Below are 25,824 nucleotides of genomic sequence, written 5' to 3'. Positions count from 1 at the left end.
ATTTCAGTGAGGTCCTGAATGAAGGAAGACAACATTCATGCGGTTATCTGGAGGAAACCGATTTCAGGCAGAGGGAGGAGGTGCAAAGGCCCTGAGGCAAGACAGTGTTTGGATTGCTCAAGGAATTTGCAGGAGGCCAGTGTGGCTAAAGTAAAGTGGATGAGAGAGAGTTGGAGGAGAAAATGAGGTGAAAGAGGTAGCAGGGAGCCAATCCTATCACGCCTTGTAAGTCATGGTGACCTGTAAGTCTCAGCTCACTGCAACCTCCCCCTCCCGGGTTCAAGAGATTCTCCTGCCTCAGCCTCCCGAGTAGCTGGGACTACAGGTGCACATCACCACGCCCGGCTAATTTGTACTTAGTACTTTGGCTCTTGTCCTGTGTAAGATAGAAAGACTTTAGAGACTTTTGAGCAGAGGAGGCACATCACATGACTGACACTTTAGAAGGATCACTTGGGCTGCTGGGTATAGAATAGACTGGGGTTGTGTAATGGCAGAATCAAGGGGAGCAACTAGGAGACAGTTGTAGTCAATTAAGCCAAGAGATGATGATAGCGTGGACCATGAAGGAATGATGGAGGAAGTGACATGTGATCAGACTTTAAATAGAAACTGATGGGGAACTAACACGATCTGCCAATGGGTTTGATGACTCTAGGATTTTTTTTAACGGGGATAGCTGGAAAAGCATTTGCCATTTACTGAATAGAGAGGATTAAGAAGTACATCTAAAGCTCCAAGAATGGCCAGGCGCAGTGGCTCACGTCTGTAATCCCAGCGCTTTGGGAGGCCAAGGCAAGTGGATCACTAGAGCTCAGGAGTTCAAGACCAGCCTGGGCAGCATAGTGAAACACCCGTCTCTATAAAAAATACAAAAATTAGCCAGGGGTGATGGTGCACACCTGTAGTCTCAGCTACTTGGGGGACTAAGGCAGGAGAATTTCTTGAACCCAGGAAGTCAAGGGTGCAGTGAGCTGTGTTTGCAATAAATGCACTCCAGGCTGGGCAAAAAGTGAGACCCTGTCTTAAAATAAATAAATAAATAAATAAAGCTCCAAGAATAGTGAAACTGTTTCCAGCCTTCCTGCCTGCCTGCTGGTCTTTCTTTTTGAATAATTTCACTCAAAAGCCATAACATAGAGCCAAGCAAGACAAGGCACCCATGCAGGGGCAGAGGGGACATTGGGCTGGCATAGGTTATGAGAGCCCAAGATGGAACAAGACAGTGTCTGCAAGAGGAGTGGAGGGAGCAGCAGCAGTGACAATGAACCAGTTACTTACAAAGGATTAATCCAATAAGAAGAAAGAGAGAAGTTACAAAAATCGAAAAGGAGAAAACAAAAATAAGCCCTGTGGTGTTTGATTGGAATCAAAGGTGAACTCATTGTTTTTTACATGGAAAGATCAATAGATAGATGATAGATAGATAGATAGATAGATAGATAGATAGATAGATAGATAGATAGATGGATAGATACATAGATACATAGTAGACATAAATGTGTGTATAATAATACATATATTTCCTAGGACTGTCCACTGAGAGGTCTGGAAACAATGACACTCCAGGAACAATGACACTCCAGAAACAATGACACTCCAGGAACAATGACACTCCAGAAACAATGACACTCCAGGAACAATGAGCACATCTAGCACCCAGATCTTGGCTTCTACACATCATTCTCTATTAAAAGAAAGAAGCATCCCTTGGAGCAATGGCTGATTCCAGAGCTGTGGCAGAGAAATTACAAGATAAGCCTGGAACATCTTGCTGTGACAGAAAGTAAGCAAGTGCTCAAAGAATTATGGCAATAGAAACCAGCTTGGCAACTGGACAAAATCTGGGAAATTGAGCATCAAAATAAATAATGAGGTAATGAGGAAAACACTCAACATCTGTAATATTGCTGTCAAAGTTGCATAACCTACATCTAATCATGAGGAAACAACACATAAGCCAAAATTAAGGGCCATTCTACAATAGCACTGTACTATGCTTCTAAATTGTCCTGGTCATGAAAGCAAAGGAAAGGCTTAGGAATCATCTCAGACAGAAGGAGACTGGAAAGACGTGGCAACTAAATGCAATGAATAATCCTAGACTGGATCCTTTGGTTATAAAGGACAGCATTGGGCCAATTGATGAAAGTCCAGTAAGGTCTGGGGGTTATATTGAACTAATGTATCAATGTTCATTTCCTGATTGTGAGCATTGTGTTAGATTATGAAGGAGGATGTCCTCATTTGTAGGAAATATATATTAAAATATTAGGGAGTCACCGGGCTCGGTGGCTCACGCTTGTAATCCCAGCACTTTGGGAGGCCGAAGTGGGTGGATCACGAGGTCAGGAGATCGAGACCATCCTGGCTAACACGGTGAAACCCCGTCTCTACTAAAAACATTAAAAAAAATTAGCTGGGCGTGGTGGCGGGTGCCTGTAGTCCCGGCTACTCAGGAGGTTGAGGCAGGAGAATGGCGTGAACCCGGGAGGTGGAGCTTGCAGTGAGCCGAGATCGCACCACTGCACTCTAGCCTGGGAGACAGAGAGAGACTCCGTCTCAAATAAAATAAAATAAAATAAAAATAATAAAATAAAATAAAATAATATAAAATAAAATAAAATATTAGGGAGTAATGAGGCATCATGGAGGCAACTTACTCATAAGTGGTTCAGGAAAGGGGGAAATTCTTTGTATATCATTGTAACTTTTCTATACCGTTGAAATTATTTCAAAAGAAAAAGACAAGGAAGGAGTGAATGAAATCCCTGAGGCAGTGGAGAATGAGAGGAGGTTGAGGCAGTGCAATATCAACCACTGACACCAAAGGGTTCCATATGTGTAAGGAGAGGGCAGCTAATAATGTGTAATATTGCAAAAAGACAGAAGAGAATTTTTAAAAAGGTATTAAACTATTTACAAATTTTCTACATTATTAATCATGGCAGCATCTTCATACATGTGCAATGCAATGGAAAATAAACCCATTATTCATTCACAGACAATACTGAATGTGCATATGGATTTGGCTTCCGCATGGAAGCAATTAACAACTTCTTGACTTCCCTGGGCCCTGGGATTCAGAGATTGGAAACCTGTTCTCACTACAAACCATTACAGTTTTAAAAAGAAAATCACAATGACATAATTATATTAGCTCTTGTCAGGAGGCCAGGTCCCCCAATTCCTAGTTTTAAACGGGATCTTTTAAAAAATTTAGTGTATTCTGGCCAGGGGCAGTGGCTCAGTCTCTGTAACCCCAACACTTTGGGAATTGGAGGCGGGAGGATAACTTGAGCCCAGGAGTTCAGAGACCAGCTTAAAATACAAAGCGAGACTCCGCCTCTAAAAGAAAAAAAAAGACGGTCGTGGTGGCATGCGCCTGTAGTCCTGTAGTCCCAACTACTCGGGAGGCTGAGGTGGGAGAATCGCTTGAGCTCTGGATGTCGAGGCTGCAGCAAGCCTTGATTGCACCACTGCACTCCAGCCTGGGCGGCAGGGCGAGACCCTGTCCCAAACAAAATTACATAAATTGAGTTAAATAAAATTTAGTGCAATCTAATGATATAATTTGATGCTCACATTTTGGGAGAAAATAATCTGTATATAGAATTATTAATGTGCCCAAGTAACACACGTTCCTTATAGACAAATGGAAAATGCAGATAGAGAACAAATTTTAAGCCACCTATACACCCACCATCCAAAAATAATTTGTTAGCATTTTGATGTCTATTTGAGACTTCTAAAATGCAAATCGCATGTATAATTTTTTGCCGTTAAAGAGGGACCCTGCCTTGTGCTATTTTGTGTCTTGCATCTTCTCCTCCACCCCCCATCCATTTAGAGCAAACACGGTCTCAGGAACTAAATATATTTCAAACGCCTCATTTTTAAGGACGCGGCGAGGAATTCCATTGAGCAAATGGGCGGTGACTTATGTAATCATGTTCCTATTTAAGGACTTTTACGTTGGGCGCGGAGAGATAGTGCCGCAGAACCTGCGGGACGAAGCTGAGACAACTGGAAAAATGGGAGGTTGGTGGACAGCTAGCTAGGTCGCTGAGCTGGGTTTTAAGCACACAGGGACGGAGGAAAGAGGGCCAGCAAGGCCGCGGCCGGCGGAAAGCAATGGGCCCGTGAAGTCGGATTTGGGCGCCGTGCGAGGCAGAGGGCGGGTGGTTCCCAAGTCAAAGGGCAGCGGATGAGTTGAACCCGAGACCCACCCAATTAACTGGGGCTACGCGCCCCAAGGCCCGAAAGCTGATGCGCCGCCGCCTCTCACCAACAGAGGGCGCTGTGTCCTCAGCAGTTCGCGGTGGGCGGCTCCCAGCTGCTGGCCAGATGTAGACAGCTGGACCGCGGGAGGCGCGAAGCCCTACCCGAGCCCCTGCAGACCCGCAGGCGGAGGAGGGATGGGCGAAGAAGGGACGGCAGGGGGCAAGGGTGGTGGCAGAGCACTCCACTGTCGCTGCTCTGCAGACTCCCGGATTGCCTTCCCCTGTAGGGCAGAAGAGGGGCGCCTCCCACCCAGGCGGGACGTTTTCTGATACCCACCAAAGTGCAGTCTGGGCTGCCCGCGGCCCTAGGCTGCCTCAGCATGACCGAGAGGGGTCCACAGGGCGGGGCGCAGGGCCAGGAGAGACCCACGCGGCAGTCTGCAGCCGGAAAGAGAGCTGGACTTTAAGGCCTTGAACTTGTGGAGAATCCAGCCCTTAACTCCAGATGTTCTAACATCCACACATACACACAGACCGTTTCTGAGCTCTTTCTGCTCTGGGTGCGGTGTGCAGTGGAGGAGTGAGAAACTGAGGCACAGCAGGATGGAGTACTGAGCAGACCCCTTCTCCCCATATTGTTTGGGGCGGAGAAGCTGCGCTAGAATCAGAAGCTCCAGTGAAGGACCCCGGGGCCAGGGACAACCCCAGGGACCCTGCCCCCTTGACCTGCCCGCTGTCCCCACCCCTGGCCGCTCCCCAGGCTCCGGTAGGGGTAATCAGCTGCTGCGTGCTGCTGCAATTGGCGGCGCAGACCCGGCCTGGCGGAGGACGGGCGGGCGGCGCAGGGGCGGGCGAGGGGCTTAATTGCAGGGCTTTGGCCAGCAGTCTGGGCTGCAACTCCACTGGGGGGAAGGGAGCGGGCCCCTTAGCTCTTCAGGCCCGGCTTTGGAGGAAGCCAAAGGCCTTTGGGTAGGTAGCCGGGGATCCCTTCCCCGGAAACTGGGGTTTCGTGGGTTGGGGGGAGGTTGAACCCCAGCGAGGGTGAAAGGAGGAGGAGCGGGATGCCTCGGGAGAGCTGCGGGGGTGGTGGGGGCAGATTCCAAACTCCCCACCCAAACCCCAGAAGCCCTGGTTAGTCTAGTCCGAGACTCCTCCCTCATTCTGACCCCCCTCCCCTTTCTGCTGCCTCGGTTACCCCCCTTCTTGTATCCCCAGGGCGCTCCCACCCTGGGGAAGAATGTGCCCTCCTTGCGCACCCTTGCCATGGTAACGGCACACCCCCACCCCCGCGCACCGCAGCGGCCCGGCCTGGCCCCGCGGGCGGCGAGAAAAGGTGGGGGGGCGGGCGCCTCCCAGCCCCGAGGACACACCTCGGCTGCCCTGGTTACCACAGTAACCGGGGGCATTCCAAAGTGCGCAGCCGCGAAGTGGCAAAGGGCTTCCTCACCATCCTATACCTCCCAACCCACCAGCAGGGGTTAGCCGCTCCAGGGAGAGACCTCCTATGCGCCAACCCTAACTTCAAGGACAAGGTCCAGAGAGGAATCATGGGATGTCCCAGCTTCCATACACCGCGAGCCTAGGGAGCAAAAGCATCTGGGGCCCCTGAAAGCCTGGCACCTGAAAAGGGATACCCCAGTCGCCAGCTTGTCCTCCTCCCCAACCGGAGCCCGAGGGAGGCGCTGGCAGCAGGAAGCCGGGGAAGGGCCCGGAGGAGCGCAGGCCCCACAGCCGAGCGGTGATTACAGGGACCTGTCCCTCCCGCCCCCAGCTCTCACTCTCATTAAGTCATTTTTTCCCCTGTTGGAAAGTCCCTGTGCCTTGAGGGCAGGGGCTGGGGCGACCGCAGGCAGCTGCCGGCAACCACATGAGAAGTGGGGGGAGGAGGAGAGAAGGGGGCTGTGACTAGAGCCTGGCCACACTCCAACGTGGAAGGCCCCCTGCCAGGGGCTAGCTGGGGGCACATTAATTTGGGGGAAGTAGGGGGAGCTCCGGGATGACCCTGACCTTGTTTCTCACCGGCCGGGGCACTCCTACAACTCCAAGTCTACCTTTGAGTGCCTCTACCCTGGACCTTGAGTGACTGCAAAGCGGGATGCCTGCGTTCTGATCTCACCCCAGCCTGGCTGCCTCTCCCTGACCCTTAACCCCACCACTGCCTTCTAATCTGTCCACCACCCTCATTCTGTTAGTGCCCTTCCTCCTCCTACTTTTCCCTCCTGCAAGGAGGTAACCTAGCATCCATCAGGTGACAGTTGTTGGTGGCAGGGGAGGTCCTCTCCTTCTCTGAATGATCTCTACCCACCTTCTGTTCTCATTTCCAAGTCTCACCTCTGATCTTTCCCAGGCTGTTGGCAAGTTCTTCCTCCCATCTAAACTGCACCCTCCCACTTTATTCCAGCCCATTTCCCCTATTTCCTGTCAGTTTATTGATCCCTGCCACACCCTTCATCCAGCATGCATAAGCTCAGTGCCATTTGGGCCCCATTTTCCCACCCTCCATCACCTCCACATTTTCCTAATTTAGGTCCCTTATCAAGTCCCATACAACCCCTTTCAACCGTGGGCGTCACCTTTGGTCCCAGAACTCATCAGCTTCTGGGCTTCACAAGTTAGGCTAACACATATCAGATCACCTTGACTTATGTCATTAAAACATGTGTCCTCCCTACAACTCCGGGTCCAGCCCCCTGCCCCACCCAACCACCCACCCCTCTCTCTGCATTCAACACATGCTCTGCAGCATGGCTGCTCCCACCTTCTTATCCCAGTCCTGATCCTCTACCTCTCATCTTCAGTCTCCCCTCCCCCAGCTTGGTCATCCTCCTTAAGCCTTGAAGGCAGAGGAGGGTTAGGCCAAGGCTAATGTTGCAGTGGACACTGCTGGGCATGGCAGCACCCCCTCAACCCTAGGCCTCCATTTCCCCCACCTCTTCTCTCCTCCTCCCTGGGATGGGAGGGAGGAAGCGGGTGGAAAACCCAGCCCCCACAGCTCTCTCCTAGGTGATCAAGAGGAAAGGAATGAGGCAGGTGTGTCTGGCTGCTCCTGCCTACCCCTCCTCCTGGGGGACTCTCACCCGCCCGCCTGTGGGGCTGTCTTTTGGGGGATGGGGAAAGAAACCCTGTCCTCCAGAGAAGCAGCAGAGCTGAGCATTCGGAAGCCCCTCTGCCACAGGCATGCCTGCGAGCTGCTGGCATTTGGAGGGGAAGGAGATGAGGGGCAAGCTCATGGAGGCAAATCTTCCAGCTGGTGGGCCTACTGGGGTGTATCACTAAGAGGCCCCCATTTCCTTCTCACTTCTACTCAGGGGTAGGGAGACATGGATCAGGGGTGGAAAGTATGGAGGATTTGTGCTGGCTGATCACTGGGGAAAGGAACAAGTCTTCATCCTTGCCTGGTTCATCAAGAGGGGTGCTATTCTAGGGTAAATTGAGGCAGCCAGCGGGATCCTCAAGTGTGAGCAGCAAGAGGCCTGGATGCAGTAGGTAAAGTGTTCTTTCCCTGAGATCCTGACCTCACTCCCTTCTCCACCGCCCTCCTCCTTGAGGGTCTGTTCCAGAAAACATCAGATCCGAGAGCGAAGGAGAGTGCAACACTGGACCCAAACTGCTCAACAGTGTCCTCACAGGGACATGAGGGTGGGGAAGGATTGCTGACCTGCTAAGGAGCACCCTGATATGGGGATCTGGGAGCACAAGAGGCCCAGGAAGAATGTGCCCCCTGCACCTTACTTACATACCCTGCCTGGACTCAGAGAGACCAGAATCCAGACAGTGAGTCTCCGGGCCCTCCTCCGCCACCCTTTTCCCAGCCGCGCCTCCTGGCCCCACCTGCTCCCCGGGGCGCTGGGCTGGGCTGAGCTGGGTCTTGCCCAGGATTACTCCTCTGAGTGCCTCCTGTCTCTGCAGACAGTTGCTGCTGGGCACGGCCACTCGTCCTGGCTTGTGGCAGAGGGCTCAGGCACAAGGTGGGCGGTTAGAGCTCTGGCACCAGAGCCCTTCTCGACATCCCCACTGCTTACAACCAGTCCAAGCCCCATCTCTGACTTAGAAGATGGTTGTTATTCCTCACTGGCTTACCAGCTGTCACCTCATCCCCCTTCAGCCAGTTCCCCATCAGCGATCCATGTGAGACTTGGACCAGGACACTCCCCTGCTTAAGGATCTCAAGGTTCCCATTCCTCTTTAATAAAACCCCAACTCCTTACTTTGGCTTAGAGAGACACACGATGTGACCTTTGCCCACCCTCTGAACACCTCTCCTGCTAGTCTGTCCCTTGATTTCTTCACTGCAATCACAATGGCCCCTTTGCTGTTTCTCCAGCAGGCAGAGATCTTTCTCAGCTCACACTTTCTGCCTTCACATGGCCTCTGCCTGGAATGCCCTTACCCATACTCTTTGCATGGCTTATGATGCAGGTCCCAGCATAGGTATCACAACTCACAGAGGCCTTCCCTGAAAAAACAGTGGCTTTGTCTGAGGAGCCCCACTCCCCATAAATCCCCCTACACCCAGCAGCCTGCACACAGCATTGTCTGAAATGACCTTGTTTGTATATTTACTTGTTTATTGCCCATGCCTCCCCCCAGCAAGAATGTAACCTCCAAGAGGACAAGTGTTGTGTCTCGCTTACTCACATCTGTGGCCTCAGTGCCTTGCATTGCCACCCCCACGCACCCCACCGCCCCCAGAGTGCCGCAAAGAGAGTGCAAAATAAATATTTGTTAAATGAATGATGAAGGGAATGGTGGAGGAGGCTGTCTGGGCCCTTTATGGAATTACTTCAGCTCAGTTATGTCTATTTCTTTTTTTTAATCCTCCTCTCTCTGCCCGTCAGCTTCCATTCATTCCCCACCTCCCATCTCCAGGGAAGGGGTGAAAGGATGGAGACAGACTGACGGGTTGCCTGGCTGAGGCTTGTTTTAGGGTGTGGAGCAACCCCCAGCCCAACTGAACTGTCTGGGCTTCGGGGAGGGAGGAAGAACCCAGTCAGTCCTAGAGCCCACAGAAGTGAGTGGTGGGGTTCAGACAGGCCTGGACTGTCCGGCGATCACAGACCTCAGAGCTGAGGGGTTCCTATAAGATCATGTGGTCCAATCTCCTCTTCCCAAGAGCCAAGGCGATGCTGCCTTGCCAAGACCGTAAGCCTCAGAGGGCCAGGCTCCAGGAGGGGACCTCGATCAGGGCCCAGGGGACCCCGGGCCGCTCACTTGCAGACGCTGACCCACTCGGTGATGCGGCACTCTTCGCAGACCACGAAACAGCACCAGTGGAAGCGGCAGTGGCAGCGCTCGCTGCGCGTCTGGCGCAGGATGTTGTGGCCGCGGCCGCAGCACATGCTGCCGCAGCCATCCGAGCCGGCGCTGCTCTTGTTGCACAGGCGGCCCACGGTGCCCGCCGAGTCCAGGCGCGGCTCGCGCTCGCAGAAGTCGGGAGACTTTTCGAAGTAGACCAGGTCGGCGGGGCTGGCCCGTCGGCGCGGCCCGGGAGCGCCCGGAGCCGGCGAGGGTGCCCCCGCTGGGCCCGGCTCCAGCTGGCCGCCGTTGCGGTTGTGCGGCCGGATGAGCGTGGCGCGGTGGAAGCGGCTGCGCAGCAGCGCCCCCACGGTGCGGAACTCGGGCGTCACCTGCCAGCACGTCTTGAGCTGGCAGCTGCCTGACGTGCCGTGGCACTTGCACTTCCGCCGCATGTTCTCCATCACTGCCTGCGGAGGGAGGCACCGTGAGGGGTGACACGGCGCGCAGCCCCACTCCCCTCCCAGCGCTTAGCCTGGCCTGCTTCTGAAACCCACTCCCATTATACAGAGGCAAACGCTGAGGCCGGGAGCGAGGGTCCCACAACCAGGCAGTCAGAAGAACTTCTGTACCTGCTCTTCTGCCTCTGCCTCTGCCTCTCCCACCCACCTCCCACCAGGCCAGGCCCCGGGGGAATTCCCACCTGCCGGCTCCCCTCCTCTCCTGCCCGCCTTTCCAGCAGCTGCAGGGGGCCCTTGGGGCTGGAGGCTCTTGCTTCCTGAAGGGGGATCCCAAATAGGCAGGGAAATTCCCTCTCCTGCCACCCCTGGGGTAGGGGCCAGGAGCAGGAGGGTGCTGGCCCCGCTGTATCTCGCTCCAGGCCGTGTGTGTGTGTGTGTGTGTGTGTGTGTGTGTGTGTGTGTGTGTGTGTGTGTGTGTGGTGGGGTGGGTGGAGGGGTGTTCGGTGAGTTTCAGAAAGCCTTGGTCCCCCTCTCAGTCCTTCCCTCTCCAGCTCCCCCTACATCTCTTTGTAGAGAGCCAAAGGAGGGGGACAAGTGCTGGGGAAACTGTCCCCGATTATGCTGCCTGGGGCTCATTCTGCACTATGCTGAGACCCATGGTTCGTCCTAGGAAAAGTCAGCGCCACCAGGGGCCAAAGCTCTACCTAATACAGAATGGAACCGGAGAGAGCCAGGCTCTCCAGCTCAGTGAAAGTGGAGAAGGTCTCAGGCCTCCAAGGGAGGTGGTTATGGGAACGCAACCCAGCCGCCCCCAACCCAGCTCACAACCTGCTCTAGAGTCTCCTTACTAAGAACCCTTTGACATTTTCACCAGAAACCCCGTAAGAAGTTGGCCACATCCCCTCCTTTCCCTCAGTCCACTCCGAAAACACACCCTGAGACAGGGACGGCAATGATCCAGGGCCCTTAAACTTGGGCAGTAGGGCCATAAGAGAGGGCGCCTTCCCCTCGAGGTCTGAAAGGGCTCCACAGCGTGCATGCGCAGCCTGTGCTGTCAGCACCACGTGGGAACCAGACCAATGCCTCCCCAGGCCAACAGCTCCAGAACATCTGCTTCCCACGGGCAGCAGCCATTAATTAACCAGTTTAACGAGGAGGAGGAGGAGGAGGCACCGTTGGTATGGGCTGGGATGGCGGTGAGGCTTGGGAAAAGAGCTGTACAGGGCAGGCTGGGTGGGAGCTGGACATGACCCAAGGGTAAGTGTGCCTCAGTTTACCCCGCCTCTAAGTCAAGATGGGAATTGCTGAATCAGCTTTGTGCAGGAAGATGACCCATCGTGGGCTAAGAGGCCAAGAGAAAGAAGAGTGAGATGGAGAAGGTGCCAGCCAGAGTGAGAGGAAGCCAGGTAAAAGGCCTCAACAGGCTGAGCAGAGTCAAAAGAAGGGATGATGGAGATGGAATGCTCAGGAAAGGACAGTGCTGAGCTACCATGAGAGCCAACAGGGCATCAGAATGTGGACTCAACGCTGTAGAACAAAAGAGAACAGGCTCAAAGGTCAACTGCCTGGGGATGAACCCTGCCTGGACCACCTTCTCACTAGTTGCATCATTTTGGGCAAGCTTCTTGGTCAATCCATGCCTCAGTTTCCATATCTCAACATAAGGTTAATAACAGTGCCCACTTCATAGGTAGTTGTAAGGATTAAATAGGTTAATATGTAGGAAAGTGCTCAAGACAGTGCCTAACACATAGTAAGCACTCAATAAATGCAGGCTATTACCACTATCCTTTCTTCTGCTGCTTTTTTATGTATGTGTGTATGTATTTAATTTATTTTTAATGAATGACCCTTGAGGTAGTAGGAGCATTTGAGGACAGAGGATAAAGGAGAAAGGCACCATAACACAGTTCCCCAGTGGCCCCTAGGAACTTCACTTACACCCCTTACTTTGCAGGAATCCCTCATTCTAGACTGCACAGAAAGGCTGGGAGAGATCACTGGATCATGGAACATTAGCATTGGGGGGAACCTTAGGGATGATCTAGTTCAACCTTGTCACTCTATAGGGGAGGAGTCAGATGGGAGCTCCAGGCCTAGACTCCTGAAGTCCTGACTGCACCCCTGTCCTTTCTCCTGGGTGATCACCCGAGGAAGTAGGAGAAGCAGGTTGCTCAGCAGGTGGTATGCTGATCCAGGGCAACAGGGCTTGTTTCTGCCCTGTATCCCCAGGCCTAGTCCAGTGCCTGGTGCACAGTGCATACTCAGTGCATGTTTGTTGAATTAGACAGGGTCAACGAGAAGATTGCCAAGGTGTGACATGTGGGAGCAACGTGGTCCTCAGAAGAGAGGTAGGCCAGGGCAAGGGGTAGGCCCTAGGCAAAGAGATTTGAAGCAGACCCAGGGGTGGGGCTCTCACCTGCCTCCCAACTCGGTTGTTGTGAAGCCTCATTCTCGCGTGGATGTCTCTGTGAGGCTCCCGGGAGTCCAGAAAGTCCTTAGAAAAGCGCTCCCCGAAGCCCATGTCGGGGCTGCAGCCGCCCCACTCCCAGGAGTCCTGCAGGCCTGGGCTGGCTGTGGGCAGGGCTGGGTGTTCCGGGACCCCATGGCTCAGGCCCTTACCACGCTGCAGTGCATCCAGTTGTAAGCGGTGCAGCTTCCTACGGAAGGCCTCCTCGTCCCCTCGCCGGGACGCATCACAGCCACAGGCCTTCAGTTTGCCCAGGGCACACGCATTGGACACGGCGTGCACCACGCCAGCTGCTGCGATGGCGTAGGCAAAAGCGCTCTCTCGGAAACCTGTGGTTAAAGACCCAGAACACATGGACTCTGGAGGGGCCTTGACACCCCATTCTCCAGCCCACCTTTCTCATCATTCCAAGGAGAAACTGAAGCCCAGTATGCAGGAGAGTCTGGCACAAGGAAACAGAGTCAAAGAAGGGCAGAAATCACGCCAGAAGCCAGTTCTTCTGCAAACAGAACCTGGTGGGGTGGGAGGGAGGCTTCCCAATAGCCCTCTGCTTTTTGTACGCCCTTCTCCTGTTCTTTAACATCACCTTTAGCAAACTCAGAATTTGTGTGTCTACATCTCTACTGTAGAGCAGAAAGTATCAGGTAAACACATTCTTTTTACAATCAGGGACTTAATCTATTACCTCTCACAGTGGTATCTGCAATTTTAAAATAAGCCCACAGAATGAGGGCAACATTTAAGCTAAAGAATTCATTGCCAGTGATGTTGCTGGTGGGAATGTAAACTAGTACAACCACTATGGAAAACAGTGTGGAGATTCCTCAAAGAACTAAAAGTAGAACTACCATTTGATCCAGTAATCCCACTACTGGGTATCTACCCAGAGGAAAAGAAGTCATTATACGAAAAAGATACTTGCACACGCATGTTTACAGCAGTACAATTTGTAATTGCAAAAATATGGTACCAGCCCAAATGCCCATCAACCAACAAGTGGATAAAGAAATTGCAGTATAAATATGCCATGGAATACTCCTCAGCCATAAAAAGGAACAAAATAATGGCATTCACAGCAACCTGGATGGAATTTGAGACTATTATTCTAAGTGAAGTAACTCAGGAATGGAAAACCAAACATCGTATGTTCTCACTTATAAGTGGAAGCTAAGCCATGAGGATGCAAAGGCATAAGAATGACACAATGGACTTTGGGGACTTGGGGAAAGGTTGGGTGTGAGGTGACAGATCAAAGACTACACATTGGGTGCAGTGTACACTGCTTGGGTGATGGGTGCACCAAAATCTCAGAAATCACCACGAAAGAACTTATTCATGTAACCAAACACCATCTGTTCCCCAGAAACCTATTGAAATAAATAAATAAATAAATAAAATGATATTTCATAAAATAAAATGTACACAATTTTGGAAAAAAAGAGAATAAATTGTCAATGATGAAATTCCAGGCCTTAGGAGATGTCAGTGGGCAGCAGAGTAAGTAAGAGGAGACGGTCAGCTCCTAATGCTCCCTGCCCCAAGATAGCCTGCTGGGTGCGTGCCCATCTTAGGCACAGCATAGGATCCTCCCTAATGACCAGACTCCAGAGGCAAAGAAATGGGTCACCAGAGCTTCCCCTTGCTTGTCCACAGGACATCCCTGAAAGCCACTCAGAAATGGGCGCTACCCAGCCACCTTGCCTGTGACCCACCCAGGTCAGCTGCAGAGGCTGTTGGAGGTACGCTAGAGGGAAGCCCAGGGTCCTGCATGGGGTCTGGCATGTAGTAGTGTTGAACATGGAGAAGGAAGGGCAAGCTGAGGCAGATACCTTCCACCAGATGTTCAGGAGGCACAGATTTTCCCTGACCAAGCCACTCTTGGGGGCCGCGGCTAGGCCGGCCTGGCCACTGGCTTGTCCACACTGCCTTCCTTCTTGGTGCTCCAACCTGAGCCATTCTCTGGGAACACCTGGACCTGTGGCAGGGGGAGGCCTACTTGCAAAGGAGGGTCCCATTCTCAGACATGCAAGCTATCTTTTGCTTATTCTGCATCTGAGAATGGACCAGCTAGGAACAAGTTCTGGTACAAGTCTCCAACCAGCCTCCGCACACCAGAGAGGGGGCAGGCAGCAAGAGAAGCCAGAGGCCTGGGCCAATCCCACCTTAATCCTCACCCACTGCATCACAGAGCCCTGTCCTCCCCTTCCTGCCAAAACAAACAAAAAAACCAAAACCAAAAACAACCAACAAACAAAAAATAACAGAAAGAAACAGAACAAGCTGTTTAGTAGTTAAGAACTAATTCCTGAAACCAGTTTACTTCAAATCTTGGCTCTTCCACTTACTAGCTGCTAATAGCTATGTGACCTTGGCCAAGTGACTTAACCTCCCTGTGCCTCAGTTTCCTTACCTATAAAATAGAGCTATTATCTGCCTCATTGTTGTTCCAAGAATTAAATGAACTGGTAAATTTAAAGTGCTTAGAATAGTGCCTTACTAATCGAGGAAGTATTACTCAAACATTAGCTATTATTGAGAAGTTCTTTCTGCTATCTGACCTCACTCACTCCTGCTGCATTTTTTGGGCCATTGTTTTTTGTTTCACCCTGATCAGGGACAAAGCCCAGCAGCTCATGACCCACTTTAGAATAGGTCACTTGGGCCACCAGATGCCTATGAAGCAGACTGTCCCTCTCTCTTTCCATCTCATGGCATCTCAGTACATTTTTGCATAAGGAGCTCAGCTATGAGCAGAGAAGAGGGGCTGGGGATGGGGCTGGAACCTTCTATGGGGATGCTGGGAATTAGCAGGAGCTGCAGAGGAGTAGAAACTGCCCTGGGGAAGTGGAACCTAAGGGGAAGGAGGATGGAACCAAGCTCCTGGGAAGCACATCCTGCATTTATCCCTTGCCTTTTATCTGTGGAACTTTGAGCATTTCTCTTATTGCCGGGGAGTCATCAGCCTGCTCCTAGGACACAATGGCAATACTCAGACCTCCAGAGGCAGCCCAGGTCTCAGAAATCACCCACACACACACACTGCCACCACTACCAAACACATACACATTATGCAAAAGGAGAAAACACAGGTCACAGAAGTTATGGAGCTGCATCCAGACCCAGCTCTCCCAGCTCCCAGGTCTGGCATCTTTCTATTGTAGGACATGTGACTCAAAGGGAGTCCTGCTGCTGCGAAAGAAACCCAGGTAGCTCAGTTTCTAGTTCCTATCGACTTGTCTGTGCATGGCACCAGGAAAGAGGATGAGGCTGGTCCAGGGATGTGTACAGTGCCAACCACCATCTTCTAGGCCCTGTCACATTTAAGGGTAAGCCTGGGGAAACTGGAGAAACGTACCCCACCGCGGCAGAGAACACCCCTACCCCATGCAGCTAAAGACACCTTCCCTACACCACCCTGTGGCCTCTGACAGCTGTCATAGCCACGTGCAGAGGTGACAAGGCAGGGCCTGTGTGGCCACCCTCTGCTGCAAGTATCCAGGCCTCATAGAAGCCCAGCCCACTGGGTCTGCACCCAGCTCCTGTTCAGGGCCCCAGTTTCGGTTCTGGCCCCAGCTGTCTGGGGCAGACACAGGCACTGTGCCATCTGGCCAGCTGGAGGGGGAGCGGGTGGGGCCATGGCCAGCTGGGCTGCCCGGAGCAGGGAGGCAGCGGTGGGGGGGTGGGTGGGGGGCGGCTCGTTAAGACACACAATTAGCCGCCCTGCCTTTGATCTGGGACAGGGACTGCCAGCATCTAAGTGGAGTCAGCTGCTGCTACAGGCCACAGCAGCCAACGGCTGGGAAGGGGCTGGGGGAGGAGGTTTGGAGGGTAGGGGAGGGTGGAGGAGAGAGGATTCAGGAGCCAATGGGAACTAGAAGGGGTTACAGAAGCTTGAGCCCTACCCATTCAAGTCAAAGAGGGAGGGAAGGGGAGAGGTCTGGTCTCCATTCTCTCCATGCAAATAATCTGTGCATTGCTCATGTGCCTGGGCAGAGAGAGAGAGACTAGTGTGCATGTGGGAACACTTAGGCATGACACTGAATGGAGCCACACATATGCAAAAACAGGAGTAGGTGTTTGGTGTGTGTGTGTGTGTGCGTGCACGTATGCATATCAGTTTCACTTCTTGGCATGCTCCCCCATTGCACCAGCTCACCTCTCTGGGTACACAGCGGGACTTAGTGTTGGCCTTCCAACTTGGGAGATAGTATAGAAGGGGATTGGGTGCAAACTTTAAAGTCAGCTGGCCTGCATTTGACTCCTAGATCTATGGCTCACTTTTAAGCTGTGTGACTAATGGCAAGTTCCCCAGCTTCTCTTAGCTTCATTTGTACAATAATAATAATAGGACCTACCACATGGGGACTGTTTGAGGGTCCTAAAGCATGGATAAAATGCTGTAGAGCAGTGCCTAACACACAGCAGGTGCTTAGTATGTGTTGGCTAATTAATTGGGTATCGTTAGAATAATTGAACCTTAGGTGATCCTGGGATATGAGTGCCCATGCCTTGGTTTCCCCATCTGAGCACCACCCCAATCCCTGGAGGCCTAGGCATAAAACCAAGAGGATAAATGTAAAAAGGAGGTGGGAGAAAAATGGGCCGGGGCTGTGGAGAGCAGAGCCTGGAAACCCACACTACTGGCTTCCCCTGGGCTGAGAGCATGGCTGCAGGGCCTCATGCCCTCTCTTTCCATCTATTCCAGATGGGTCTGGGCCTTAGGGAAGACAGTACCTAAACTGTGTGGGAGTTCCCAGGGCTTGCTGTGTGAATCTACCACATTTCCCTCCATCAAGCCTCTCCCTGACCTCTCCTCCTCTCTTACTCCAGTGCTGAGCCCAGCTCCCAGCAGCCCCCTCCTCAAATTTCCCTCCTGTCCTCATGTCCACAGTGAGAGAAGGGGTTCTCTGTACCTCACAGTGATCCACTCCCCTCTACCAGATGTTCTGCCCAGTACCCAGCCCAGGAACCAACCATCTAGGTTCTTAGCACAAAAAGCTGGGGCTACCAGTGCCATTGGCACTAAGGTCATTACTGCTCCTGGACTAGGTGAAGCAGCTAGCATGGGCTTGGTGCCCTCCCACAGCTTTTTCTGACCCTCTCTATTCCCACGGGAGGCCCCTGTCCCTGTCCCCCATGGCCTAGGCTCCAGCACCCCCTCATCCCCTCTCCTTGGCTGGGCAAAGCCCTATTGCATGCCTCACCTTTTCAGGCTTGTCCACTTCAGATGCTCAAGCCCTCTTCTCCCTCCCTTTATCAAAACCCCATCCCTCCAGCCCAGCTCATTACAGAGAAGGTGTCAGGACAATTAGGTGATAGTAACAGCATTAAAGAAGGCCCAAGGGACCTGGGACCCCAACCCAATCAGTGTCTGAAGTTTAAACATGGCAGAATCCACACTTAAGAGGATCCTAACCCATTGATAACATGGGTCAGAAAAGGGGTCAGCACCCAGATATTCCACTTGGAGGAAACGGAGGTCACCTGACCCCACACAATGGACATCCATAACTTGGAAAGAAAGGAGATTCCTGGTGGAAGGAAGTAGACCAGGGGCTGGTTGACACCGTGAGTGGCTTCATGGGATTCCAATTTAGCTAGTCCTCCAGAAGATGGGCCAAGATGGACTGGGAAATGACTGCCCCCCAGGAGGATGAACCTGCAGGTGGAGTCAGGGGTGCAGTGGTGGCCAGTGGAGGAGAGGATTGGCAGATTTATTTCCAGAAGCACAGAGTCCCTTCTGAGAAGTAGAAGGTAGAAGGTAGAAGTAGAGGTAGAAATGAGGTGTGAGGTGTGGCAATGAGGGGCGTTGATAGGGAGCTGGGGAGCGGAAGCCACAGAGGTAGGCCAGTGTCCTGAGGCCAAGGGAAAGTGCCCAGCCACTGTCCCACTCCCTCCCCATGCTGAGTGCCTCCCTGCCCTGGCTAGCCCCGGCAAGTCGTCCCCCTCCAGCCCTAACCTCCCCCCTCCACCCGTCCCCCCAGCTCACCTCGAGCTTATTAAACTGCAGGTGAACCCGGGAGCGCCTGGCACCCAGCCAGCCCTGCGCTGTTCTGCCGCTCTGAACTCTCCCCCAGGCTTCAAAGACCCCAAGGTCCTCCAGCAGGCCGCGCGGGCCTGACCCAGCGAGCCACTCAGGGCACCTGGATTCACTCGGTCTAAAGGGAACAGGAGGACAGAGGGGACACCAAGGCCGAGGAGAGGGATGCAGAGCTTGCCTTGCCTCACCCGAAGCGGCAGAAGTGAGAACCTCCGCGCCTATCCCAGTCCCCGGCGGGCAGAAACCAAAGCCAGGGCTACGGAGTCCTCATGGGGTACCCGAGGGCCCCGAAGGGAAACGCGGCTGCGGGCAGCGCGGACGACCTAGAAACCCGAGGGTAGGAGCGGGCCCGCGGCGGCGGTGAGCGCCGGCCCGGCCCAGCCGGGGCATGAATGGTGCAGAGGCCCGTCCGTTCGTGTCGGCGCGCAGGCGGCGGGACAGGGAGGAGCGTGTGGCCCGAGCTGGGCAGGACCCGGGGGTCCCGGGCAGCCGCTTCTGGACGGCTGGAGGGGCCCGGGCGGCGGTGGGGCGGGAGGGGGCGGGAGAGCGGGGCAGGGAGGGGGTTGCCCTCTGAGAGCGGCGCGGCTGGGGCCGGGAGCCGTCTGCCGCGGCCCGCGGGGATTAGTTCGCGGCTGCATGCCGCCACACGCGTCGGGCTGGGCTCGGCCGGGTAGAAACAGCGCCCGGGGCGCGCGGGGGAGGGAGGAGGGAGCGCGCGGGGGCGGGGCGGGGCGGGGCGGGAGGCCTGGGGCTGGGCTGGTGGAGGCTGGGGTGGCCCCTGACTTGGGGGCCCAGGGGATGCAAGCAGGGGTCCTGGTGAAAAGGGAAGGGCCGCGGCTTTCTGAGTTTTCCGAATTTGAGGTACAGCCTGACTCCCCAAGAAGCCTCAAGACCCAAGGCTACAAGGTGTATGTGTACCTCTCCCACTCCACCTCCACTGAAAATTGGACAAGACCTAAGGAGCTAGGGCTACGGGGTGCCCACAATGTCCCACACAATCCACTGAGAAGAGAGATAGATACCCAGCTAGGCCCATCCCAGAGGCAGGGCCCCCATCCTTCCCAAAAGTCAAGGCCTGAGATACCAGGCCAGGAGGTGGGTGTGAGCAGAAGTGAGTGACAAAACCTCCTGCCATCCCCAGCCCAAGCCACTCTGGGATTGTCAGGGTGGGTCACCCAGAAGTCGGAGAGGGAGGACAGGGAATGGACTGCAGCTTCTCTGAGCTGTTAGGGGAAGAGGAGTTGACAGGACTACTAGGCCTGCTGGCAGGAGCCACTGCACACAGGCACACACACACCCAGCACCTCTGATTCAGAGAGGGTTTTCCAGAGGCAGCAGGGATGACACACAGGCTGGTGGTGTCCCCCGCCGGGAAGAGCTTCTGCAGAAGGGCAGACTTTTTACCTGTCCAGGCTGCCTCCATCTGCACGATTAGGCAAAGTCCTCAACCCCTCCTCATGCTGATTCTGGGTTCTTCCTCATGGGTTCCCCATCCTAAATGTGGTTTACTAAGCAGAGGGTAAGTAGAGGCAAGCGACAGGTACAGATATTTCCTGGGTTTGAGATATGCAGTGTCAGTGATAGGGCAGGATGACCCAGGAGTCCAGTTCTAAGGCATGGAACCTGCCACCCTCAGCCTACACAGCCCAGTCTGGAGACACATTTGCCCAATTTCTCTGCCCCCATGGCCTGAGATCAGAAAGAGGAAGGAGAGCAGCAGGGCCAACAGATGGGTGTGTGGGGATGGGAGGATGCCAGCTTGAGGCAGTGGGTTAGAAATGGCTGGGAATAGATTCTGAGGTGGAGATGCTGGATGGGGCAGGCAGGGGCAGGGGTGAGGGGCAGCTACCTCTGCTGAAGATGGGACTCTCATAGGGGATCTTGTTGCGAGTCTCCAGGCTTGAGCAGTTCCAGCGCTGGTCCCTGAATTGGTGTTGGCATTCGTGGATGGCGATCTGGATGCCCTGTATGGCTGAGGCAGCCACATCAGGGTGACGCACACACACCTCCATCTGCCGCCGGCTCAGGCCTGGCAATGTTAGGCACACTGTGTTGGCATTGAGCACGGGCTCCGGGGGGAGGCGGAGGTCCAGAATGTCATTGGGTGCTGACCTGCAGACATATGGGGTGGAGTGGGTACGTGTTTTGGGGGGACCAGGAGAGCCCCATCTAACAACACACACTCTGTCCCAACGGCCATAATCACTCCCTCTTCCAACCTCTGCTTCTGAAGGTTGGGCCCATCAGTACACTCCTACACATTCCTCTCTCCTTGACCTCCTCACAATCATCCTGCCCAGTGCAACTCACTCAGCTAGCTGCACACCCACACAGGTAAGCGTGCAAATGCACACACATCCACCATGCTTGTGGCCACAGTATTTCCTATGCACATCCCCAGGAATAGATGCCCATACACACAGGGTTCCCCACAAGCCCACTCCCACAGATATGTTTCAGTCACATTCACATAGACACACTTCTGCACACATTGTGGTGGACACACAAACCCAACCCCAGCACACTTACGCACATGCACACTTCATCAGACATAGTTACAGACACACACACAAAGACACTCCCATTTACACATGTGTTCATCTTAACATACATTGACCCATGAGCTCTCACATGCACACATGGGCACACATACAAACTACTGTTTACCAACACAGTTTGCTGGGATCCTGGGCTCGATTGAAAACACACACACACACACACACACACACACAGCTCTTGCAGCTGCAGTCTCTCACTGACCCCACCTGGGCTACCCCCTTCCAGCCTCCCAACCCCTGCCCCTACCTGGGGCTGAGCTGCAGGAAGGAGTGAGGCAGCTTGTGCTTACTCCTGAGGTGGGGGTGCATTCCCCCAACAGGGCAGGAACTCCAGACTGGCACTTGCTCCCCCCCCACACACACCTCCCCTCCTAGTTGCCATCATGCTCCTGGGCACTGCCTTGTCTCCCTGGACTGCCCATATCCTGTCACCAGTCCAACCCCCTCCTATGAGGGAGCTCACTGCCTTTGGTTGGGCACCAGCACTTTCCTATGACCCTGTCCCTCCCTTCTTCCAGGGTCCTCTACCCCAGCAAGAGCATCAGAGGCCCCTGCAGGCCGGGGTCCCAACTCTCTAGGAGGGCGGAGCATGAGGTGAGGGCTCACCTGGGCATGGCAGCAGCCAGCAGCAGTAGGAAGAACAGGAGCACCCAGAGCGCTGGCCGCGGCTGGGGCTGGGGTCGGAGCCGCAGCCAGGGGCGAGGGTGGGCGCTGCCCATGGCGCGCAGGCCCTGACGGGCTGGGAGTGGGGGGCTCACAGCCCAGTGGGACTGGAGAGCCAGGGGCGCCGGCGCATGATCGGCGGGGGGTCGGGGCGGCTGCGACACACAGCTCCGACTCGGGTCAGGGCTCCCGGAGCAGACGGCGCCCGCCTCCCCGCTCCATGGGGCAGCACCCCCGGGCACCGCCCTCGGGGGGGGCGGGGGGTGAAGAGCGGGCGAACCGGGCACCTCCTGGCACAGGGGTCCGGGGAATTTCCCGAGGCCCCCCCGCGACAACTCCCGGTGCCTCTCAAGGGTAAGGGGGGCCCGGAGGTGCAGCGGGCTGGGGACGGGAGGCTGGGGTGCCGGGGAACCCTCCAGCGCAGCGCCGGGAGCCTGCGCTTCCGAGGGCGTGCGAGGCTGGCTGGCGGGGGCGGCGCTGTCTGTGTCGGGCCCCACTGCCTGTAGAGTAAGTGACTGTCCCGGCTCGGGGAGCTCTGCCGCCTTCCCTTTCCTCCCCCCACCCCCCCGCCATTTAGTGTCTCAGGGCTCTACCCCACGTGACGTCACGCGGCGGGGCGTGGAGGCGTGTACGAGTCCCGAGGCCACTGCGTCCGCTGGGGACTGGGGGTGGGAGCGTCCCTGCTGAGGGCAACAGAGGGAAAGGTGTTGGGGTCTGTGCGCGCGTGCACAGGAAGATGCCTGTGTGTGGAGCGCGCTGGGTTGTGTGGGGGATATGTGTTACCGCGAGGTGTGTGTGCCTGGCAGAGACGCAGCTGCTGGGGAGCGCCCCCATCCCACCCCAACACACACACCTGCAGGGGCTGGAGGGGAGGGGCTGGCCTCTGTGTTTCGCCTCCTCCGCCAGAGGAGGGACTTCCCCCAGGCCTGCCTGGTGTGAGGCAGGTGTGGGCTCCTGCAGAGGAGTTTGGCAGCCTCTGGTTTCTTCTCCCCTTTGCTGTGTGACCTTAAACAGGTGCCTCCTGCTCCTGCTCACGGAGACCTCCTCTGCCCCTTTGCGGAATGCGGCTCATGGGGACCACCTTGTCTCCTCAGTGAGCCCGGGGAGGCAGCAGTGTCAGGCCCCCAGAAAATGCTTGCGTAGGAGCGCCCGGGGTGGCACGTCCTGGGAGGAGGCGTTAGAGAGACTTTTAACCCTAGAAGTGGCCGTTGAGATAGTTTATTTAGCTCCCCTTTATTTCACAAGAAAATATCGAGGCTCAAAGAGGTCACACAGCAAATTAGCGGAAGAGCGAGAACCGAACGCAGCTCTCCTGACTCCCAGCGCAGCAGCTGCCTCCCCAACACTGAGTGTTGCCTGCCTGTGCCCGCAGATACTCTCAGTCTTGTCCTGGCCCTCCCTGGCCCCACCTGCACATGGTCCTCTAGGAGGTCCCTAATACCAGCCTCCTGGCTCAGGTCTACTTCTCGCTGAGATCTTCCTGTCCCTCCACCCCAACTGAACACTGGGCCCCTCCTCGATATAGTGCAAGTGTGCTGGGCCCAAGCAAGGGCCTGAGAGCCAGAGGGCAGGGGAAAGGCAGCTCTGCCGTCTGTTTCTGGTGCTAGCCTGGGCCCTGATAGTGGATCGTGCTCCTGCCCTGTGCCCTCGGCATCCTCCTCTGTAAAATGGGCACAAGCCTTTACACAAACATGCCCCTCTCTCTGAAGAGAGCCCCTGCTGGCTTAGGAACAAAACTATGGGAGCCTCTGGGCTCAGAGACAAAAAAGGCCCATTCCTGGAATTGCCCATCCCTGGGGAACTGAAGGAGGGGGTGGGGCCCTCCTTGTCCCCAGACTGTCAGGTGGTGGGGGCGGCCTGAGCAACAGCAGGCTGACGGCATACTCCCCCCTCCTTTCCCCCTCATCTCTGCCGGCAGCCACCGCAGCTGTCAGGAATTAAGGGCTTGAGGCTGCTGGGGGTGGGGGTGGGGCAGTGGGGGGGGAGCAGTCTGGCTGGACTGCAGGAAAACAGCCAGGGGCAGCAAGCAGACTGCGTCAGCTAGAGCCTTATTTGACCCCAACTGCCCCCTGCCCTCCCCACTCTCCCTACCATGCTGCAGAAACGGGGACAGCTTGGGACTAGCATTTGGGAAGGGTAAGCGGTAAGGGTAAGGGTGGGACCAGACTCAAGACAGGAGACAGGCACCAGCCCAGGATGAGAGAGGACACCAGCAAGCTGGAGAGTCATATTCTTATTGGCTGTTGGGGAAACTGAGGCCCAGAAAGAATTAGGAACGTGACACAGGGAAGGGACTCATAATCAGCTTACAGATGTCCTTATTCCCCATCACGCGCTCACACTAGCATTTCCCACGCTTGATGCAGCACAAGTGTCCCCTGGGGTGGGCCATTGTGGGAATGCGGATTCCAGGCCCCATGAAGTTGAATCAGCCTTTCCAGGGAAAGGCCTGGGTGTCTGTCTTTCTAGCTAGCATCCCCAGTGATTCTGGTGGGGACTCCTTTTGGGAAACGCTGCTGACCTGGTTGAGGAGCTGATTTAGTTTCCTTTGGCATCTCTCTGATGAGGGGGTCTCTTTTCTTCCCCACCTCCACTGTCTGTGAAATACAGAGGTGCAAAGGAGACCGAGAAAACCCTTTCTTAAAAAAAAACAAAAAAGCCTCCGGAGGCAAATAGTGATACTGAGGCTTGCACTCAGGCGTGGCTCTGCCCTGGTGTCAGGAGGGTCTAGGAGTGCCCAAGTCAGAGCACTTCTCAGTGAAGGGAGGGGAGAGTCTGTGTTGGTCCAGAGCCTTGGCATGTATGTAGGTGAGGCCCAGAGACTGTCTGCCCCTGGGGTCCCAGCCCCAAATGACCCACACCATGGCCAAGCCCCTATCAGCACCCCCTAGTCCCCACCCTGGCCCTGCCCTGGGCCCTGGCCCTCAGCCCAGCCCCAGCCCCCGCAGCCGCCGCCTAAGACCACAATTACAGGGGCCACTGGGGGGCGGGGGAGCACTGGGGATGAAAGGCAGCTTGGAGAATGGTTCCAGCTGTGGCAGCTCTGGAGAAGGTCACAGGGAGGAAGGGCCGGGGAAGCATGGGGGTGAGAACAGGTGGGACCCTCACAGCCCCAGCCTAGCCCAGTCCAGCCCCAGCCCAGTCCTGGTGCCCAGCTGGAGAAGTTTGTCTTGCTGAAGAAGAACGCCAAGGAGCCACAGACCAATAAGGAGGCTCTTCATTCCATTGTCCAGGCCTCAGAGGCCACCAACCCTCAGCAAGGTAAGGGGGAATGGCTTGCTGCTGCAGTCTCCCCAAACTCCCAATGTGTTTGGTCATTGAAAGGGAAGGGAATTGTTCCCCGAGCCCGTGGCCTCAGGCTGATCCTAGGCCTTCCACTCGGCCTCCTCACCCATCTGCCTGTGTTCCGCCTGTTCCTGATGTGGTCACACACACATCTGGGGTGCCTCTTTGCACTTCCCCCATCTCCCCAGTTCCACATGTCCCCTGCCATTCAGCCAGCAGGGGACTTTGATGGCTCAGACTGCCTGAGGCTGAGCAGCTGGATGAGCAGGGGTGGGTGGTGGTGGGAACTCTACTTCCGGCCCCTTCCCAGGCAGCAGGGCAACAGCACAGATCTATCTCTGGGCTCAAAGAAGATAAGGCTAGAAGTCCCAATGGTGCCTTCTGGTAATCACTCCCACCCTTCATAGAAGGCAGTGCCCAGACGCCTTCAGGGCTTGGTAACAGAAGATGGACCAGTAACATGTGGCCAGCAGTTTAAAGATGGAAGTGCATTCTCACAATGTGCTAAAAAGCAATCAGGGACCCCTATTAGGTGATAGGAAGTGCTCAGATAGGTTAACTGACTTGACCAAGGTCAAGCTAGCAAACAAGGCATTTTTCATTGTACCATACAACTTCCTCTGAATTCCTTTTAACCTGCCTAGAATGGTGCCAGTTCATGCCACTTCCCCAGCTTCCCTCCCTGGCATTGTGGAGGAAGATGTCCAGCATCTTCCACCCTATCTCACCCCCTGCAGGACCCAGCAGTGGTAGAGTCTGGGAGGCTGGCATCCCAGCCCTAGGTCTGGGCCAGCCCAGACGTCCCAGACAGTCTGGAACCCTAGAAGCTTGACCCAAGCTGTCTGTAGGTCTCCTTGCTTCCTTTCAGTCCTATCCTCTCCTGCCCACC

At 54.9% G+C, this 25,824-nt stretch overlaps 1 protein-coding gene and 2 long non-coding RNA genes across 5 annotated transcripts in view, besides 17 other annotated features; 2 read left to right on the top strand and 1 right to left on the bottom strand.

The window, feature by feature from the left end:
• The window catches only part of LINC01494 (long intergenic non-protein coding RNA 1494), a 29,824-nt gene extending 27,936 nt beyond the window's left edge, over positions 1–1,888 (top strand). The window contains exon 5 of the long non-coding RNA NR_110238.1: positions 1,531–1,888. This is a non-coding gene — a long non-coding RNA (long intergenic non-protein coding RNA 1494). The remainder of the gene's footprint in view (positions 1–1,530) is intronic.
• Positions 4,960–5,079: a silencer, noted in NCBI's record as "silent region_12337". NCBI's record gives its function as "represses an Ori minimal core promoter by ATAC-STARR-seq in GM12878 lymphoblastoid cells {active_cell/tissue: GM12878}" and the evidence as "EXISTENCE:reporter gene assay evidence [ECO:0000049][PMID:35858748]".
• Positions 5,370–5,639: a silencer, noted in NCBI's record as "silent region_12336". NCBI's record gives its function as "represses an Ori minimal core promoter by ATAC-STARR-seq in GM12878 lymphoblastoid cells {active_cell/tissue: GM12878}" and the evidence as "EXISTENCE:reporter gene assay evidence [ECO:0000049][PMID:35858748]".
• LOC105373882 (uncharacterized) lies at positions 5,677–8,225 on the top strand. The gene is made up of 3 exons (XR_923916.3): positions 5,677–5,961; positions 7,784–7,997; positions 8,133–8,225. It is a non-coding gene; the product is annotated as an uncharacterized LOC105373882 (long non-coding RNA).
• Positions 5,900–6,379: an enhancer, noted in NCBI's record as "active region_17135". NCBI's record gives its function as "activates an Ori minimal core promoter by ATAC-STARR-seq in GM12878 lymphoblastoid cells {active_cell/tissue: GM12878}" and the evidence as "EXISTENCE:reporter gene assay evidence [ECO:0000049][PMID:35858748]".
• Positions 7,101–7,395: a silencer, noted in NCBI's record as "tiled region #8081; HepG2 Repressive non-DNase unmatched - State 20:ReprD". NCBI's record gives its function as "represses a minimal TATA promoter and a strong SV40 promoter by Sharpr-MPRA in HepG2 cells {active_cell/tissue: HepG2}" and the evidence as "EXISTENCE:reporter gene assay evidence [ECO:0000049][PMID:27701403]".
• WNT10A (Wnt family member 10A) overlaps positions 8,774–25,824 on the bottom strand; it is a 19,813-nt gene continuing 2,762 nt past the window's right edge. Inside the window, exons 1-4 of one of the 3 annotated variants that reach the window (NM_025216.3) lie at positions 21,594–21,850; positions 20,279–20,541; positions 12,339–12,718; positions 8,774–9,928 (exon numbers count right to left, since the gene is read on the bottom strand). In NM_025216.3, coding sequence (NP_079492.2) covers positions 9,431–9,928; positions 12,339–12,718; positions 20,279–20,541; positions 21,594–21,706 — 1,254 coding nt within the window. In that variant the 5' untranslated portion in view covers positions 21,707–21,850 and the 3' untranslated portion in view covers positions 8,774–9,430. Of the gene's footprint in view, positions 9,929–12,338; positions 12,719–20,278; positions 20,542–21,593; positions 21,851–25,824 lie in introns of those variants that run through there. The other 2 variants (XM_011511929.3, XM_011511930.2) reach the window with 2 other exon arrangements.
• Positions 9,369–9,448: an enhancer, noted in NCBI's record as "active region_17134". NCBI's record gives its function as "activates an Ori minimal core promoter by ATAC-STARR-seq in GM12878 lymphoblastoid cells {active_cell/tissue: GM12878}" and the evidence as "EXISTENCE:reporter gene assay evidence [ECO:0000049][PMID:35858748]".
• Positions 9,560–10,142: an enhancer, noted in NCBI's record as "H3K27ac-H3K4me1 hESC enhancer chr2:219757282-219757864 (GRCh37/hg19 assembly coordinates)". NCBI's record gives its function as "activates a minimal SCP1, AML or CMV promoter by ChIP-STARR-seq in primed H9 embryonic stem cells {active_cell/tissue: H9 hESC(primed)}" and the evidence as "EXISTENCE:reporter gene assay evidence [ECO:0000049][PMID:30033119]".
• Positions 9,589–9,798: a silencer, noted in NCBI's record as "silent region_12335". NCBI's record gives its function as "represses an Ori minimal core promoter by ATAC-STARR-seq in GM12878 lymphoblastoid cells {active_cell/tissue: GM12878}" and the evidence as "EXISTENCE:reporter gene assay evidence [ECO:0000049][PMID:35858748]".
• Positions 9,879–9,948: an enhancer, noted in NCBI's record as "active region_17133". NCBI's record gives its function as "activates an Ori minimal core promoter by ATAC-STARR-seq in GM12878 lymphoblastoid cells {active_cell/tissue: GM12878}" and the evidence as "EXISTENCE:reporter gene assay evidence [ECO:0000049][PMID:35858748]".
• Positions 9,979–10,058: an enhancer, noted in NCBI's record as "active region_17132". NCBI's record gives its function as "activates an Ori minimal core promoter by ATAC-STARR-seq in GM12878 lymphoblastoid cells {active_cell/tissue: GM12878}" and the evidence as "EXISTENCE:reporter gene assay evidence [ECO:0000049][PMID:35858748]".
• Positions 10,659–10,788: an enhancer, noted in NCBI's record as "active region_17131". NCBI's record gives its function as "activates an Ori minimal core promoter by ATAC-STARR-seq in GM12878 lymphoblastoid cells {active_cell/tissue: GM12878}" and the evidence as "EXISTENCE:reporter gene assay evidence [ECO:0000049][PMID:35858748]".
• Positions 15,800–15,919: a silencer, noted in NCBI's record as "silent region_12334". NCBI's record gives its function as "represses an Ori minimal core promoter by ATAC-STARR-seq in GM12878 lymphoblastoid cells {active_cell/tissue: GM12878}" and the evidence as "EXISTENCE:reporter gene assay evidence [ECO:0000049][PMID:35858748]".
• Positions 16,030–16,089: a silencer, noted in NCBI's record as "silent region_12333". NCBI's record gives its function as "represses an Ori minimal core promoter by ATAC-STARR-seq in GM12878 lymphoblastoid cells {active_cell/tissue: GM12878}" and the evidence as "EXISTENCE:reporter gene assay evidence [ECO:0000049][PMID:35858748]".
• Positions 18,715–18,984: a silencer, noted in NCBI's record as "silent region_12332". NCBI's record gives its function as "represses an Ori minimal core promoter by ATAC-STARR-seq in GM12878 lymphoblastoid cells {active_cell/tissue: GM12878}" and the evidence as "EXISTENCE:reporter gene assay evidence [ECO:0000049][PMID:35858748]".
• Positions 19,005–19,174: a silencer, noted in NCBI's record as "silent region_12331". NCBI's record gives its function as "represses an Ori minimal core promoter by ATAC-STARR-seq in GM12878 lymphoblastoid cells {active_cell/tissue: GM12878}" and the evidence as "EXISTENCE:reporter gene assay evidence [ECO:0000049][PMID:35858748]".
• Positions 21,775–21,914: a silencer, noted in NCBI's record as "silent region_12330". NCBI's record gives its function as "represses an Ori minimal core promoter by ATAC-STARR-seq in GM12878 lymphoblastoid cells {active_cell/tissue: GM12878}" and the evidence as "EXISTENCE:reporter gene assay evidence [ECO:0000049][PMID:35858748]".
• Positions 21,935–22,144: a silencer, noted in NCBI's record as "silent region_12329". NCBI's record gives its function as "represses an Ori minimal core promoter by ATAC-STARR-seq in GM12878 lymphoblastoid cells {active_cell/tissue: GM12878}" and the evidence as "EXISTENCE:reporter gene assay evidence [ECO:0000049][PMID:35858748]".
• Positions 22,365–22,424: a silencer, noted in NCBI's record as "silent region_12328". NCBI's record gives its function as "represses an Ori minimal core promoter by ATAC-STARR-seq in GM12878 lymphoblastoid cells {active_cell/tissue: GM12878}" and the evidence as "EXISTENCE:reporter gene assay evidence [ECO:0000049][PMID:35858748]".

The sequence above is a fragment of the Homo sapiens genome, chromosome 2, assembly GCF_000001405.40.
Source record: "Homo sapiens chromosome 2, GRCh38.p14 Primary Assembly".
In the NCBI taxonomy this organism is placed as follows: domain Eukaryota; kingdom Metazoa; phylum Chordata; class Mammalia; order Primates; family Hominidae; genus Homo; species Homo sapiens.
This window is presented reverse-complemented; position numbering and strand designations above follow the sequence as displayed.